The sequence below is a fragment of the Homo sapiens genome, chromosome 7 (genome assembly GCF_000001405.40).
Source record: "Homo sapiens chromosome 7, GRCh38.p14 Primary Assembly".
NCBI lineage: Eukaryota > Metazoa > Chordata > Mammalia > Primates > Hominidae > Homo > Homo sapiens.
This window is the reverse complement of record NC_000007.14, coordinates 130,986,929-131,002,666: the sequence shown is the minus strand read 5'-3', so window position 1 is coordinate 131,002,666 and position 15,738 is coordinate 130,986,929. Positions and strand designations below refer to the sequence as shown.

The 15,738-nt window shown below is 43.3% G+C and overlaps 1 long non-coding RNA gene across 10 annotated transcripts in view; it reads left to right on the top strand.

Moving 5' to 3' along the window:
* LINC-PINT (long intergenic non-protein coding RNA, p53 induced transcript) overlaps window positions 1-15,738 on the top strand; it is a 232,364-nt gene that overhangs the window by 107,259 nt on the left and 109,367 nt on the right. For 2 of the 10 annotated variants that reach the window (NR_170175.1, NR_109850.1), the window contains exon 4: window positions 347-470. The exons of the other annotated variants lie outside the window; for them this stretch is intronic. This is a non-coding gene — a long non-coding RNA (long intergenic non-protein coding RNA, p53 induced transcript). The remainder of the gene's footprint in view (window positions 1-346; window positions 471-15,738) is intronic. 10 annotated transcript variants of the gene reach the window in all.

Sequence of the window (15,738 nt, the reverse complement as noted above, 5' to 3'; positions counted from 1 at the left end):
GCTTGCTTAGTCTTTTTAATAGGGCAGCTGAATATCACTAGATATTCTGAGAGATACTTTTATTGGACGTGTCTCACCTAGTATGCAAGCATTCATGAAGCTTCTGCTTGCATCATGCTTTCTAATGTCCCACTGGTCCAGTCCAGAGTTGGTGTGGGAGGGCACGACCATGGGTGTGATCACCAGTAGGCATGATTCCTTGGGGACACCAAGATAATATGCCACATTACCATATAGGAGTGACTCATTAATATTTTTATTGAATGGGATACTTGTTTTCAATGTAGTATAGTTCACAAGTCTTCACTTTGATAAAGCTACTTTTTTTTTTTTTTTTTTTTTTTAGAGACAGAGTCTTACCCTGTCACCCAGGCTGGAGTACAATGGTGCGATCTCGGCTCACTGCAACCTCTGCCTCCTGGGTTCAAGTGATTCTTCTGCCTCAGCCTCCTGAGTAGCTGGGACTACAGGTGCGCACCACCACACCTGGCTAATTTTTGTGTTTTTAGTAGAGATGGGGTTACATTATGTTGGCCAGGCTGGTCTCAAACTCCTGACCTCAGGGGATCTGCCCACCACGGCCTCCCAAAGTGCTGGCATTACAGGTGTGAGCCACTGCACGTGGCCGATAAAGCTACTTTTTAAAGTAAATGTGCACTCAAGTACTCCCTTTATTGTTTGTGGTAATATTTATTTATTTAGATAATCCAGTTGTCCTCCTTTGGTGTCCCCAGTTCATACACACCTAAACATAACTTAAAATTTGTTTGGAATTTGAAAGTACAGAATTTTCCTGTAATTGAGACTTTTTAAACTTTTGTGGTTGGAGAAGGTATTCTATTTTTTGAAAATATCTGTAAGTTTTATCTAAGTAGTAAACTCTAAGTATTCTTCCCCTTTACTTACAGCCACCCTGGGAATCTGAGACTAGAGAAAATAAAGTTTGTCTCTTGTTCTAAGGAGGGTCTGGTTTAGAAATCTGATTTAGACATAGAAAAATTGCAAGAAGCTTGAGGTGATTGGAAGATACGATTTTGTTATCAAAGTATGTTTCTGTTTTATAGATTTTATTCATCTACAACTCCTTATTAATATATTTAAGAAGTCATTAACCCACCATTGATTACTTGATATAAAAGGAGAAACGGTGGTAAAAGGTGAAATAGAATTTTTAATTTTTTTTTTTTAAGTTTAGGATTTTTTTTTTAAATTCTAAGAGTTTCTGTCATTTGGGGACAATCAGAAACAAAAAAATAAAAATAAAGCATTGATGGTACTAGTATATATCAAGGAAATTATTGCCTGTGACACAGCTTATGTGGAGTCAGTGTTTTATAGATTGATGAACATCAGCTCATTTTTCCAGGGAGAGTAATAGCCGGTCTCTTCCTTGGAAATATTTAAGGAACATTTAGTTTATAAGAAAGCTCTGATAGATGATTGAAATCACAGAACAGAAGACTGATCACACTTAAACACAGTGCATCTGCATTTACTTAAGGTACTGAAGTGCAGTGCTTCTCAAACTTTACCCTGCATGGAGAACCCTGGGGCATCTTGTTAAAAGATTCTGATTTAGTGGCTCTGGGATGGAGCCCTGAGGCTCTGCATTTCCCAGAAGCTCCTACACAGTGGGAGTGCTGTTCGCTTACCAGCAAGTCTTTAGTATAGGTAACCCTGCTGAAGTCTTTGTCCTAGGCAAGAAGCCCACAAGAATCCCGTCACCCATTGGGATGTTGTGGCCTTTCACTTTTGGCATTCACCTCTAGCAGTACAAGAAGGAATCCTTTTAGGATCTTTTCACACATGCTCAAGTCATTCATCTCAAAACTAGAAAATATATCTTAATTTAAAACCATTTTTGGGGGGATGTGGCATTAAGTTCATTTGTATAAATCTGACATTTGTTAATAGCTGTAATTTGAAAATGAAAAAGTTATTTGGCTTACATCAAATAAATTAGTCCCTCAGCGATTCTTTGTCAAGGCCCCCCCTATCTGGATATAACAGGACTCTTGCTTCTATCAGATTGTCCACTAAAAACCGAGGTATGTGGAGGGCCAGCATTGTTCACCAGCGTAACTGGCTGGTTGCCTGACTTACTGCCAGTACTTCATCTGAACGAGGACACCTAGAAGTATGACCGTCCTTCTTTCACTCAGGTGGATTCATTTCTTTAGAAATTTGTTTCTTGTATCTGGTTTAAACATATCTCTGGAGGTATTGAAGACTGACCCGCTGTCAAAAAACAAAATGCCATAAAATTAGCTTAAAGATCTAATTGGCTTTTATTTGCTGTTCTAAAGTACAGCAACACCTCATTCTATAAAATACAGTGGGTGTTACGATGAGCCGAGCAGAGGAGGTTGGTTTTATAGGCAGAAAAGGGCTGAAGAAAACAGTGAACAAAAAGTTATTCATCATTTCGAAGTTGTTTTCCTTACAAAGGTTAAAGCAGAGGGGACTTCCTTATCATGCCAGCTAAAACTGGCCTTTTTGGAGATTTGGCTCTTATCTCTCTCTCTCTCCTGATTTCTTGGAACAACTTAGTTTTGACTTGGTGGCTTGGGATTTCAGCCTGAGCGACTCCATTTTGGTTTGGTCTCTGGGGCCTAGTGCAGGAGCTCAGTCCAAACCACTGGACTACTATAAATTTTATTTACCACTGCATTTTAAAAAATACAGAATCTTCACTGTAGAGTCTTTTCTCCTAACTTTAATAGAGGGAAGCCATTGTAAATACAACCCCTTGGTTTAGAGCCCATCCAAATAGTCCTTCCAAAAACCAAAAACTTTTTAGTTAGAAAATATTTTTAATTGAAAAACTGCATACTGAGAAGACACTACTGGTGATCTATAGTTGGTGGAACTCATGCTTGAACAAGTTTGCTCACACAGAGGCAGCATGGGCAACAGGAGTGAGGGCTTTGGAGTCAGACAGACTTGGCTTTGAATCCTTGCTCTGCTGTTACTAGCTGCGTGACCTTAGGCTAAACCTGATTTAAATCATTTTTCTGAATCAAATAGAATCTGATGAGGGTTCCCGCTTTTCAGAGTGTGTGGGAAACCCACTCTCGTTGTTGGGATCCCTCCCTCCACCAGAGGGGAAGAGGGACTCCTGACCCCGCTCCATTTGTGGTTGCTCTGTTCATGTCCCTGGCCCAGTCCCCTGGCGTCCTCTCAGAAGGGAACCTCTGTTAGTGCTTTGCAGGGGGTTTCTGCAGAGTGCCCCCAAGCCTGTGTTCACTGAGGTCTCCACTCTGACAACACTTTCATCTGGAATCCTGCCTCCTGCAGGTGTGTGAGTGGGTCAGGGCTTTTCTCTTCATGGGACCCTAATCCCTTCCCCTCCCAGTTTTGGGGAAACCAACCCCAGGGATTGAGTCACTTCCAGCTGTGTTCCCACAGGCCCACAACCTTCACACTTGCAGCTCTGGGCTCCAGCACCTAATTCCTTCAGTCTCTGCCTTCAAAACACAAAGGTCTCAGGTTAGACATACCTCATACATGGGGAATGTTCCTCTTTTTTTCTAAAACCACAACAAAAATCTGTTTATAACTACAACCAACATTTATTGTGTGCTTACTACTTGGAGTCAGGCACTATTGTAGAAGACAGTTAAGTGTCTTCAATTCAATTTACTTAACAATCCTTATGGGTATAAACAGGAATAATATATTCACACATACTGTATTATTCCTGTTTATAAGGAAATTGGGGCTCATAAGATTGGATCAGGAGCCTACAGCTAGGGAGTGGAAGAATCTGAATTTGAACTTAGATCTCTTTATTTAGTAAACCATGGAAACCTGGCTACTGAGTTCTCACTTTGCCAACAACCTGTTTCATCTTGCGTATATTTCTTGTTTCTTAAATATATTTCCCTTATCTGAAAAAAATCAGCATAGAGTAGTTGCATTTCAGAGTATCTTTGTGTCTGAAAAATCCGTGATTCTGCTCAACTGCTGTTTTACTTCCATATTTTTAAGCAAGGAAACTGTTTTTAAACTGTAAAGAGTTCAGAACTGCAGAGGCCTCTGGGAAGTGTAGCTTAGTGTGGGAGGAGATATTCAGTGACTACTGTTAAAAATTAGTGGTTCTGCAGTGAGAACACATGGACACAGGGGAGGGGAATAACATACTCTGGGGGTGGGGGAGAGAGCATCAGGAAAAAGATCTAATGCTTGTGGGGCTCAATATCTAGGTGATGGGTTGATAGGTGTAGCAAATCACCATGGCACACGTTTACCTGTGTAACCAACCTGCATGTCCTGCACGTGTATCCCAGAACTTTAAATTAAATTTAAAAAATATTAATGGTTCTCAGCTGGGCGCGGTGGCTCACACCTGTAATCCCAGCACTTTGGGAGGCCGAGGCCGGCAGATCATGAGGTCGTCAAGAGATCGAGACCATCCTGGTCAACATGGTGAAACCCCATCTCTACTAAAAATACAAAAATTAGCCAGGCGTGGCGGTGCACACCTGTAGTCCCAGCTACTTGGGAGGCTGAGGCAGGAGAATCACTTGAACCCGGGAGGCAGAGGTTGCAGTGAGCCAAGATCGCACCACTGCTCTCCAGCCTGGCAACAGAGCGAGACTCCATCTCAAATATATATATATAATTTTTCTCAAACTCTCGGGTGTGCTGAAGGAGCATGCAAATATTGAAAAACCCTGATGCTGACTTTGAGAAATCATGCAGAATAGGGGCCGAATGCAAGAAAAATCATCTTTGTCCAAATTTTAAATAAAGTGAGATTCTAGAAGCCACACTGATGCTCTGGCTATTGATTGTCAGTGAAATTTTAAGACAGAGTTAAATAAACTCTGTGAATATGGTATTAGATTAGTGGTTTCTTTTCTTTCTTTCTTTCTTTCTTTCTTTCTTTCTTTTTTTTTTTTTTGCCTAAGTTTAGATTCTTACCTTTGTACCTATTACAAGGAAATTACTGAGGAAAATGGTCCAGGAACACGTGTATGAAAACATCTTCTCCAGGTGTCTTACAGTCATTCTACAGACTGATGTTTGAGGAACATTAAGAGAAGTTTTCAAACTTTTGGGAAGCAGTGAATCCTTTCATTAACTGAAATCTTACATGAAACTCTACCATGTAAAACAGATAAAGTGCTATCTTACTAGGATAAACTCTTTGAAGTTTACGTTCATGAAGTTTATTTACTGCCGTGTCAGTAAGAACAATGAGGCTGTTACGAAGACAGAAAACATTTTAAGTCAGGTGTTGTTAACTTATCATGGCTATATTCACATCATCTTCTTTCTTTAATAAAATTGTATACTTTGCTTTAAATGCAGGATATTTTTAAAGTCTGTTTTTATAGAAAATTGTTTGCAAACTATAACAGAGTTTTTGGTTTGGTTTAAATACCTTGCCTTAGGATCCCAGGATACATTTTAGTTCAGCTCGTGGAAGGTAGGGAGTATTTGTTTCAAAGCTGTAAGAGAAACCCTGTAACTGAACTTAGGAAACAGTTGCTCACATTCCTTATCATAAATCTAGTCATACAGGAAACATCTAATTCTTAGAATAAATATTTACTCTCTCTCAAGTGGGATATTATCACAAAGGACTTTATGGTGCCATGAAAGCAAGGCCGTACAGATGGCCCTGAGCCTTGCCTGGCATTTAATCGAAGCCCACGCTAGGGTGTGGTTTTGTATTCATGTGCTTGCTTGAACAACTTTAGGAGAGCAGACGCTGCAGGCAGGTATTTCTCACAGGGCCGAGCTGGGGCTACAGCTTCCCTCACCAATGTCACACTTAGGAGAAGTTCACATGTGAGCAAGCACAGAGCGGGCAGAGCAGCCTCCTGTGAGGGCTGCGAGGTTGCCCGGCCTGGCCGGGTTTATTGGCACACATCTCATTCATGGGCAGAGATCTGCAGTGCGTGAAAAGTTTGCATATAAACCATTTCAGGTTGTTTTCTTAAATTAAAGCTTAAAAAATATCCAAAACATATTTGAACATCAGAAACAGATGTTTGTGGTATCCTTGGAGCACTTCCACAGGAGTCTTTTAAAAAACAGCCTGATTTTTACTAGATGCTTGGTTTACATTGGGAAGAATGTGTGGTTCCCTGTGGAATACAGGGAAGAAGTTAGGGACAAGTTGGTAGTGCACATGAGAAAAATAACTACAGTTCAGAAAATGAATTGTGTACAAGAAGAAAGAACAAAGTACCTTTGAGTACAAACTGGGGAGTGACCTCTTCTGGCCAGAAAGCCAGGGAACATTTCCTGGAAAAGAAGGCATTTGGGGAGGACTTTGAGTACACAGAGGACTTGGATAGGAGACTGTTGGGAGAAAAGGTGATGTCCTAGGGCACGTTACCTATTGGGAGAGTATAATTTTAGGGGGAAATTACATAGACATCACTTCCTTCTTAAGCCATTTATTACCTTCTTCATTAGGTATATTAGCTCTGCTGCATATGCATTTTAAAATATAATCTTTAAAAAGACCATTCTCTACATATACAACTTAAACATGCCTGAGGTCTCTTTCAGCTGTTACTATCTGGCGGAGATTTACTTGTTCACATTTAGACTTTTAATGTGATAATTTTGCCTAACTTGGCTGCCCCTGTGATACCTACGTGTGTCATAGGTTTGCCCTAAACCTAGCATCTGCAGGAATGACAGCCATTCATTCATTCGTTTGTTCGCCCACGCTGGCAATATTGAGCACTTATTTATGTGCCAGGTCCTGGAGAGTTCCAGGTACCCAGCAGGGAACAAGTCAGAACTGGACAGGTGAATCAGATGCCTGGAAACCACCTGAAGTTCTTATCATTAAACTGTATTTAGAAAGATAACAATGCAACTTTTCCTACAAAGCGATAACAGCATAAAGTGAACGCCTCCCAGAAGCTTGTACATTTTAACAGGATCAAAGCTTTGCCTAGAACTGCTTCTAATCAGGCTCTGTGTGAGAGTGAATTGTGGTTTGAGCCTTGGGACTTTTCCAGCCCTCCTAAAATTATATGGCTTTTTAAGCAGCAGGGTTGGTACTGTCTCATCTGTACTTTGAGGTTGAGACTGGCTCTGATAGTATTCCTTTCAAGAAAGTAGCTTAAATAAAACTCTACCGCACTGGGAAAATTAATTAGATATACCATGACTGAAACAAGCTCTTTTGAGGGACAGGACGGCGGAGCACAGAGAGGGAGTATAGCAGAGTGGGAATGCACAAACTATCTGGGTGCACCACCCGGCTGTTGTTCCTTGGGTGAGTCACTTAACCTCTTCATGCATCTGTAAAATAAGCAGGACAATAATATTAGTATCCCCCTTAAAGGATTCTTGTGAGGGTCAAATAAGTCAATATATACAGAGCATTTAGAATTGTGCCTGCTTTAGAGTAAGCATTATAATTAGCTATTATTTCTTTGAGCTATGCATTTGTCCAGTGTGTCAATTTTCTGAGAATATATAGTAGATACAAGAATGGTTGGGAAGCTAGATCAAATGAGAGTGGTTAATTTCTCCTTCCCCTTCTTGTCACTCCCTACCCTCCTGCCCCATAGACCCCAAAGTTATTTGTTTCGTAAGGCTATAACATCATATTTGAATGTATGACCTTGAAAAATCCTGATTAAGTAGTTCTGGGCAAAGCTCTAATGGTTGGAAAATAAATCAGGCCTCCCACACATACCTGCTCAGCCAAGAATTTGTTTGCCCCAGAAACTGTGGGTGGGCGGGAATGGAAGCAGGCACACGCCCAGGCTCTGCGAACTCTCTGTTCTCGCTACAGACTGTGTTGTCACCCTTCTCCTGCAGCTCGCCAGTGCTTTCTGGGCATTTCTTTGCATTCTCAATTCTAGACAAACATTTTCATGTTAAAAAACACGTTTTCTCTCTTTTCCCCAACTCCAAGAACTGCCGCTGCTCCCCTGTTCATTTTCCACAGTTTGGCTTCTTATTTGCCCCTTGGTATTGCACTTAGGTACATTTCTGCCAAGCCCAGAGGGCAACATACAGTGGTGAACAGTAGGGCTCCCTACGTGGTTCCTGAGTTTCGAGATCTTTGGCAAGGCTCTCTAGAAGTCCATGAGTTTCTATTGATTCTCGTAGCCAGGAATAGAGGCCTCTTGCCTTCGCACTGGGCCAGAGCTTGAGCCCCTCCCAGTTCTGGAGGCCAGGAGTGACTGCAGGGCATCTCCCGTCTGCATCCTGGGGGAATTTGTGGGAGTGTTTCAATGCAGGGGTTCTAAGAGGTGCTTGTGTGCCTCTTCCTGTGAAGCAAGCCACATTGGGCCTTGCAGGTCTGTTTGACACTTAGTTATTGGTTCCTGGCTTGTTCGGCATTTTTCTTGTTAGCCTGGTAAACATTGAATCCTGTTGTCCTAGTTAAGTCCCCTCCTTGGGGCAGGTGTGCGTTTCTTTTGTCTGTGGAACGGGTGAGTGTGGGGCCTCTCCTGTGGAAGGTGGCGTGGGATAGGGTGGAAAGAAGGCTCTGCAGGTCGGAAAGCTCCCCTGGGCAGAGCTGAGCTTAGAAAGTTTAACATGCACTCTGAGCCCTGTCTCATTACCATCCGTTACTGTTTCCCCAGGGGCCGCTCTGAAGGTGAACGTGAAACTGTGGGCACTGAGTGAGCTCTCAAGAGTTTTCTTTTTCCTCTATCTTCTTCCCAGGTTATGAACTCCAGGCTTATTGTGGGGATAGTGAGTGTTGGGTAAATCCTTTTTTTTTTTTTTTTTTTTTTTTTTTAAGACAAGGTCTCGCTCTGTCGCCCAGGCTGGAGTACAGGGGTATGATCTTGGTTCACTGCAGCTCTCACCTCCTGGGCTCAAGCCATCCTCCTCCCTCACCCTCCCAGGTAGTTAGGACTAAAGGCATGTGTCACCACACCTGGCTAATTTTTTATTTTTTGTAGAGGCAGGGGTCTTTCTATGTTGCAGGCCGGTCTCAAACTCCTAGGCTCAAGTGATCCTCCTGCCTTGGCCTCCCAAAGTGCTGGGATTACAGGTATGAATTCTTTCTAATAAGTTAACCAGGCTTCAAAATGGGGCCTAGGATTTGGCGGCCTTTGCCCTATACTCAGAATCCGGATGATTCTTCCTAAGAAACAGCATCCTTCTCCCTCATGGCTGAGGAATCTTGGAGGCAGCAAGAATTTAGTTTGAATTTTGCCATTTTATTTCCCCTCTAATTAGTTCAAATATAAGAAAGAACTGGCAAAACAAGCAAAGAAGATTTTATTTTGAAAATTAGACCCTATGTACAAACAGCCTCAAATCAAGAGTAGCCGCCAGACATCTTATTTCTCAGCATGTTTGCTTTTGTTCCTGCTGCAGCCATCCTGGTTGGGTGATACATGAATATTTTTCAATTGGAAGTAGATTCATATTCTGTATCATGGAACACAGGCCACTTCTTACTGCCACTTTAAAACTTGTCAGATGAGGCTGGGTGTGGTGGCTCACGCCTGTAATCCCAGCACTTTGGGAAGCCGAGGTGGGTAGATCACTTGAGGTCAGGAGTTGGAAACCAGCCTGGCCAATATGGCGAAAACCTGTCTCTCCTAAAAATACACATACACAAAAAATTAGCAGAGCATGGTGGTGCATACCTGTAATCCCAGCTACTCGGGAGACGGAGGTGGGAGAATCACTTGAACCTGGGAGGCAGAGGTTGCAGTGAGCCAAGATTGCACCCCTGCACTCCAGCCTGGGCAACAGAACGAGACTCCGCCTCAAAAAAAAAAAAAAAAAAGAAAAAGAAAAGAAAAGAAAAGAAAAGAAAATGGGCTAGGGCCACGCACGGTGGCTCATGCCTGTAATCCCAGCACTATGGGAGGCCGAGGCAGGAGGATTGCCTGAGCCCAGGAGTTTGAGACCAGCCTGGCCAACATGGTAAAACCTCCTCTCTGCTAAAAATACAAAAAAAAGAAAAAAAAATTAGCCGAGCATGGTGATGTGTGCCTGTAGTCCTAGCTACTTGGGAGGCTGAGGCAGGAGAATCATTTGAACCTGGGAGGCGGAGGTTGCAGTGAGCCGAGATCGCGCCACTGCAACTCCAGCCTGGGTGACAGAACGAGACTACATCTCAAAAACAAACAAACAAAAAAAAAGTGTCAGATGAAGTCAATATGCAATCTGTGCTTGGCCAATTTGCTGCACCATCCTGCCTTTTTTCCATTTTATAAATACAGCATTTTATAGAAAAGATCTGCTAAAATCAGTTTTAAGATCTGATTTATGAATTGTTGTCAGACCACAAGATGTCTGCTTATGTTTCTAAAACTATATCTTGAAGCTATTTTTTTTTTAAGTCTCATGAAATAAAGACCTTCCTTCACTCCTCCTAGACTATGGTGCTCTCATGCTAGAGAAGGTCCACTGTGTTTCTCTCTGTAGTAACACAACGAAACGGGGCTGGCAGTTCACACGCACATGACCCTGACACCCACGGTGTGGAGGCTGCAGGCTCCTTCTTTAGGCCTTGCCCCTACGGCAGCCCGGGTTGGCCTTGGTGTCCAAAGAGTCCAGAAACCATTCTGTTGTCCCTCAGGGCAGTAGTCCAGGATAGAAAGTGGGACTAAAGGAACCAGGCTGCTGGGGAGGTGAGTTTGGCAGTGTGCTGATAGGCCCCACTTTGGGGAAGAATGGGGAGACAGCAAGGACAGCCGGGATGTGCCGGTACTGAGTCGGTGCCCTATGCAGCAGCAGAGCCCAGCTCTGTGGCTCGGGTGTTGGTTCCATTGTCGGAGGGAAAGGTGCTGATGTGCCTGATGGTGATCATTCTGAATAGTAATGAGCGTTGTTAGCAATGGCTCTGTAGTTCCCAGATGTATTCGCCTACATGTCACGCCCCTGAGAAGCCCTAGTCAAATGGCCCTTGATGGAAGTGACCCCAGAGCCCAAACATGTCATGTCTTGAAGTAGGTTGTTGCCTTGGGTGTTAGAGTGTGAGAAAATGAACAAATGGTAAAATAAAACTTCCCAGCCATCTCGGTGGCTCATGCCTGTAATCCCAGCACTTTGGGAGGCCAAGGCGGGTGGATCACCTGAGGTTGGGAGTTCAAGACCAGCCTGAGCAACATGGAGAAACCCCATCTCTACTAAAAACACAAAATTAGCCGGGCGTGGTGGAGAATCACTTGAACCCAGGAGTTGGAGGTTGCAGTGAGCCGAGATTACACCACTACACTCCAGTCTGGGCAACAAGAGTGAAACTCCGTCTAAAATCAATCAATCAATCAATCTTCCCTTATTGGTACTAATTAGTAATTAAGGTAAAGTCTTGTCTGAATTAGGGAAAGTTTGGAGACTCACTTCACTTTCTGATATTCAGCGTTCTAACATAAAGGCTTATAAAGTGTTGCTGGGTAGTTTTGCCAGTAGAGGCCCCTGTGCTTGTTTTAATGATACAGAGTTATTCCAAACTGCAGTGAAATGCTGTGGACACATTTTCTGCAGGCGTCTCAGTAACTTTGAAAGATGGTTTTTAGTATAAAAACTTAGACTTTATTTACACTGCTAAATACTGACATATATATGAGTAAAAGCAAAATATTGGGACTGTTTCTAAACAGCTAAATAACAATAAATGGATTGTTAAACATACATAAAATAACCTTAATGAAGGCCACAGTAATTCATGTCTGTGTAGAATAAGTTCATTGAAATCAACATTCCTCTCAGTATCAGAGTTCCTTCTACAGTATGCATAGCAGATGATAATTTAGGCATCATCATCTCTCTCTTTACCCACCTCCCCTCTTCTTCCTTCCTCCCATCATCCAGTGCATGCTGTATCCAGGTCACTATGGTCAGCACTGAGGATACACAGGGAAATAGCATGTGGTCCTGCCCTCAGAGACCTGACAGTCTAGATATTTACAGCAGAGGGAGATGGTGCAGGGGAGAAGTACGCTGAGCGGGCGAGAAGCAGGCTAGCCACTCTGCTTGGAGGAGAGAGAGCACAAGATTCACAGAGGAGGTTGGGTTTTCAAGTTTGCAGGGATGGCCCAGAAATGAAAAGCGTTGTAGGCACAGACCATGTGATGCTTGCAGTCGTGAAGCTGTCTGGGGAGTGGCATCCGGCTTGGCATGTTTACAGTGTACAGTACTGGAGAGGAACAGGGTGGCAGGTGGAGACTATCTCAGGAATGATGGGAGCTCCTTACTTTGCAAAAAGAAAAGTTCTGTGTCCCGAGAAGTGTATTTTGTTAGAAGGTATGTGTGTATCACGCGACACGGGCCACTTCTTACTGCCACTTTAAAACCTGTCAGATGACGTGGGGCACAGTAGCTCACGCCTGTAATCCCAGCACTTGGGGAGGCCAGGGCGGGCGGATCACCTCAGGTCAGCAGTTCGAAACCAGCCTGGTCAACGTGGTGAAACCCATCTCCACTAAAAATACAAAAATTAGCCAGGCTTGGTGGCATGCCCCTGTAATACCAGCTACTTGGGAGGCTGAGGCAGGAAAATCACTTGAACCCAGGAGGTGGAGGTTGCAGTGAGCTGAGATCGCGACACTGCACTCCAGTCCAGGCGACAGGGCAAGACTCCATCTCAAAAAGAAAAACAACAACAACAACAAAGGAAGGTATTTTCTTATATTGTGCCCAAGTCCATCTCTGTTTCCTTTTATTATTATTATTTGAGATGGAGTCTCTCTCTGTTACCAGGCTGGAGTGCGGTGGCACAATCTCAGCTCACTGCAACCTCTGCCCCCCACGTTCAAGTGATTCTCCTGCCTCAGCCTCCCGAGTAGCTTGGACTACAGGCGCCTGCCACCACGCCCAGCTAATGTTTGTATTTTTAGTCGAGACGGGGTTTCGCCATGTTGGCCAGGCTGGTCTCAAACTCCTGACCTCAGGTCATCCGCCCGCCTCGGCTTTCCAAAGTGCTGAGATTACAGGTGTCAGCCACTGTGCCTAGCCTCTCCTTTTCTATTTTACCTTTGGGTTCAAGCCACAGGAGCCACACAGAATGAGTAGGCCTGCTCTCTGCCACATGCCTTTGTATGTAGGTGGGGTTATGCTTCTTCAAATCTTGCCCCAAGCTGTGTATACCTTTGTTTTTCCTCCTTAATAGATGTTGGCTAATAGTTTTTTTTTCTTTACATAACTCAATGGTAATTCTTGTTGGTCCTTTCAGAGTCTATAAACAATTGATTGTGATCTCCCTGATTTATCTTATAGATCTCCAAGCAGTTGTTGCCACTATAGCCTCTTGTCTGTTGGCTTCCTTTCTGCCAGGTCCCTCCCTCTGTGCTTTTACAGGATTCCCAAGGTATAAGAACAATCATGGTTGTTAGACCAGCCTCTCTTTTGCTTACTGACTTACATTCAGCCTTTTTTCACTACACTTCTTCTTTTGGTCATCTTAGGATTTCAGAGAAACAAAAAAAGTAGGTCACGCTCACAGATATGCTGGGGATCCTTTTGTTTTGTTTTGTTTTGTTTTGTTTTGTTTTGTTTTGTTTTTGAGACAGAGTCTCACTCTGTTGCCCAGGCTGGAGTGCAGTGGCACAATCAGGGCTCACTGCAGCCTCCATCTCCCAGGCTCAGGTGATCCTTTGCTGGGCGTCCTTGTCATAGAGAAGCAGTATTTTTTTTTTTTAAAACCTCATCACTATTATCTTTATACTTCAGAAGCAAACTAAGAAAGAAACACATGTCTGAAAAATGTTAATAAAAATGAATTAGGATGAATTAAAATAGCTCAGAAGAGTTGAGAGATGTACATTATAGCACAGGCGATGTTGTCATAAGAGTTATCTATATAAGAATCTGCTTTTTAACAGGACTTGCAAGCAGCTCATGTGCATCTCGGAGTTTGAAAAGCTCTGCTCTGGTGGACAACTGATGCTCCCCGAGTCACCATGAGTGACTGATCTGTTGGTAGCTCTGTTCGAGAGAAGCTAAACAAATATGCCATATCAGCCAGAAGAGTCAAATGTTGAGAATCACAGTTTAATTTTGTTTGCAGCTACAGACCAGGCCAAGTCATCATGTTTGACTAAACAGCAATGTTCTGATTAGGGGAGGACGTGGCTCTGTCTCCCAAACAGATGAGATTCTTGGTGGCTTGATGACAGCATGAAGAGCTGCTCCCCTGCCCTGGAGTAGGATGGTTTCCATGACAACAGTTCTGCGCACTGAGCTTCCCCTACCTTTTTTTTTAACCCCCGTGTTAATCAACAATGCAGAGACTAAAAAGGGTACTTTATTTCATTTTTTAAGAATTTCACCATATCTAAATTTTACTTTACATTATGTTATCATCATGGGTGTCTCTAAGAGAAAGTCTTTGTGCAGAAAAGTGTGGTTTTGTGAGTGATGGGCCAAACATTTCTTCATTAATCTCAAACTGGCACAGCTGAAAGATTTCAGGGTTAGACCATACTGACCTAAGCTTGGTTTTAAGAATACAGTACTTCTGTTTGGTGTTTGTCCTGCTGTATATCAATAGATCTTCAATGGAAAACCTTTTGTTACATAGAGTCATTAACTACCATGGTCATGTGTATAGAATGATCTTTCTCCTCACCTAGGGAAGAAGTCTTTTATTTTCACGGATTTAAAATGCTAATATATGGTGGTGACAGTATAAGAAACACTTGTATGTTAAGTTCTTTTATAATGTGATGCACAGGTTTGGTTTGCTTGACCTTTTGCACTCTATAATGATCATCTATTTTTTTTTTTTTTTTTTTTTTTTGATGGAGTCTCGCTCTGTTGCCCAGGCTGGAGTGCAGTGGCACAATCTCAGCTCATTGCAGCCTCTGCCTCCGGGGTTCAAGCAATTCTTCCACCTCAGCCTCCTGAGCAGCTGGGATTACAGAGGCACACCACCACGTCCGGCTAATTTTTGCATTTTTAGTTGAAACAGGGTTTCACCATGTTGGCCAGGCTGGTCTCGAGCTCCTGACCTCAGGTGATCCACCCGCCTCAGCCTCCCAAAGTCCTGGGATTACAGGCGTGAGCCAACACACCCAGCCTGATCATCTATTACTTCTGTAGCAGGTTAAAACCCACTAAATTTTCTTTTGTAAAAGTACTAATTAAAACAAAAAACATGGTTAGTGAGAAGAGCATTAAGATCACTAAGATCAGCCCTTAGGGAAGTGAGAGTTAGCTCCAGGGCCTTCGCTTCAAGCTCTGTGAAGACCCCAACAACTCTGTGGAAGTACCTGTGCTGCTGCACCTAGTCCAAGCCCTTGTCCTCTCGTACCTGCATTGTCCCAGTAGCCCGGTCACTGGCCTAGCTGCCTCCTTGCCTTCTTTTCAGTTTATTCTCAACACAGCCAGATCATGTCCCTGCCCCTCTTCAGCATTCCACAGGGCAGGGTGCGGCATGCATCACCTCAGTTGCATTCCATGGCTCTCAGAATCAAAGCCAACAGTCTTTAGTGCTGGACTATGAAACCCCTCACTCACCTCTATGATCTCACCTCCTATTACTGTTCCCTCATGTGCCCCAAGACAGGCCATGCTTCAGCCTCAGGCCCTTTGCACTTGCTGGTCCCTCTGTCTGGAACTGTCCTTCCGGAGATGTCTGCATGGTTCTCCACATTCTTCAGATCTTTGCTCATATGGCAATTTCTCAGGGAGGCTTTCCTTGAACACCCTATTTCAATGTTGACTCCCACCTCCCACCCCCAACACACACACATTCTCTGTCACCCTCTCTTGCTTTACTTTTCTTCATACCATGTATTGTCATCTGATGGGTTTTATCTTTTACTTTAGTATTTATGGTCA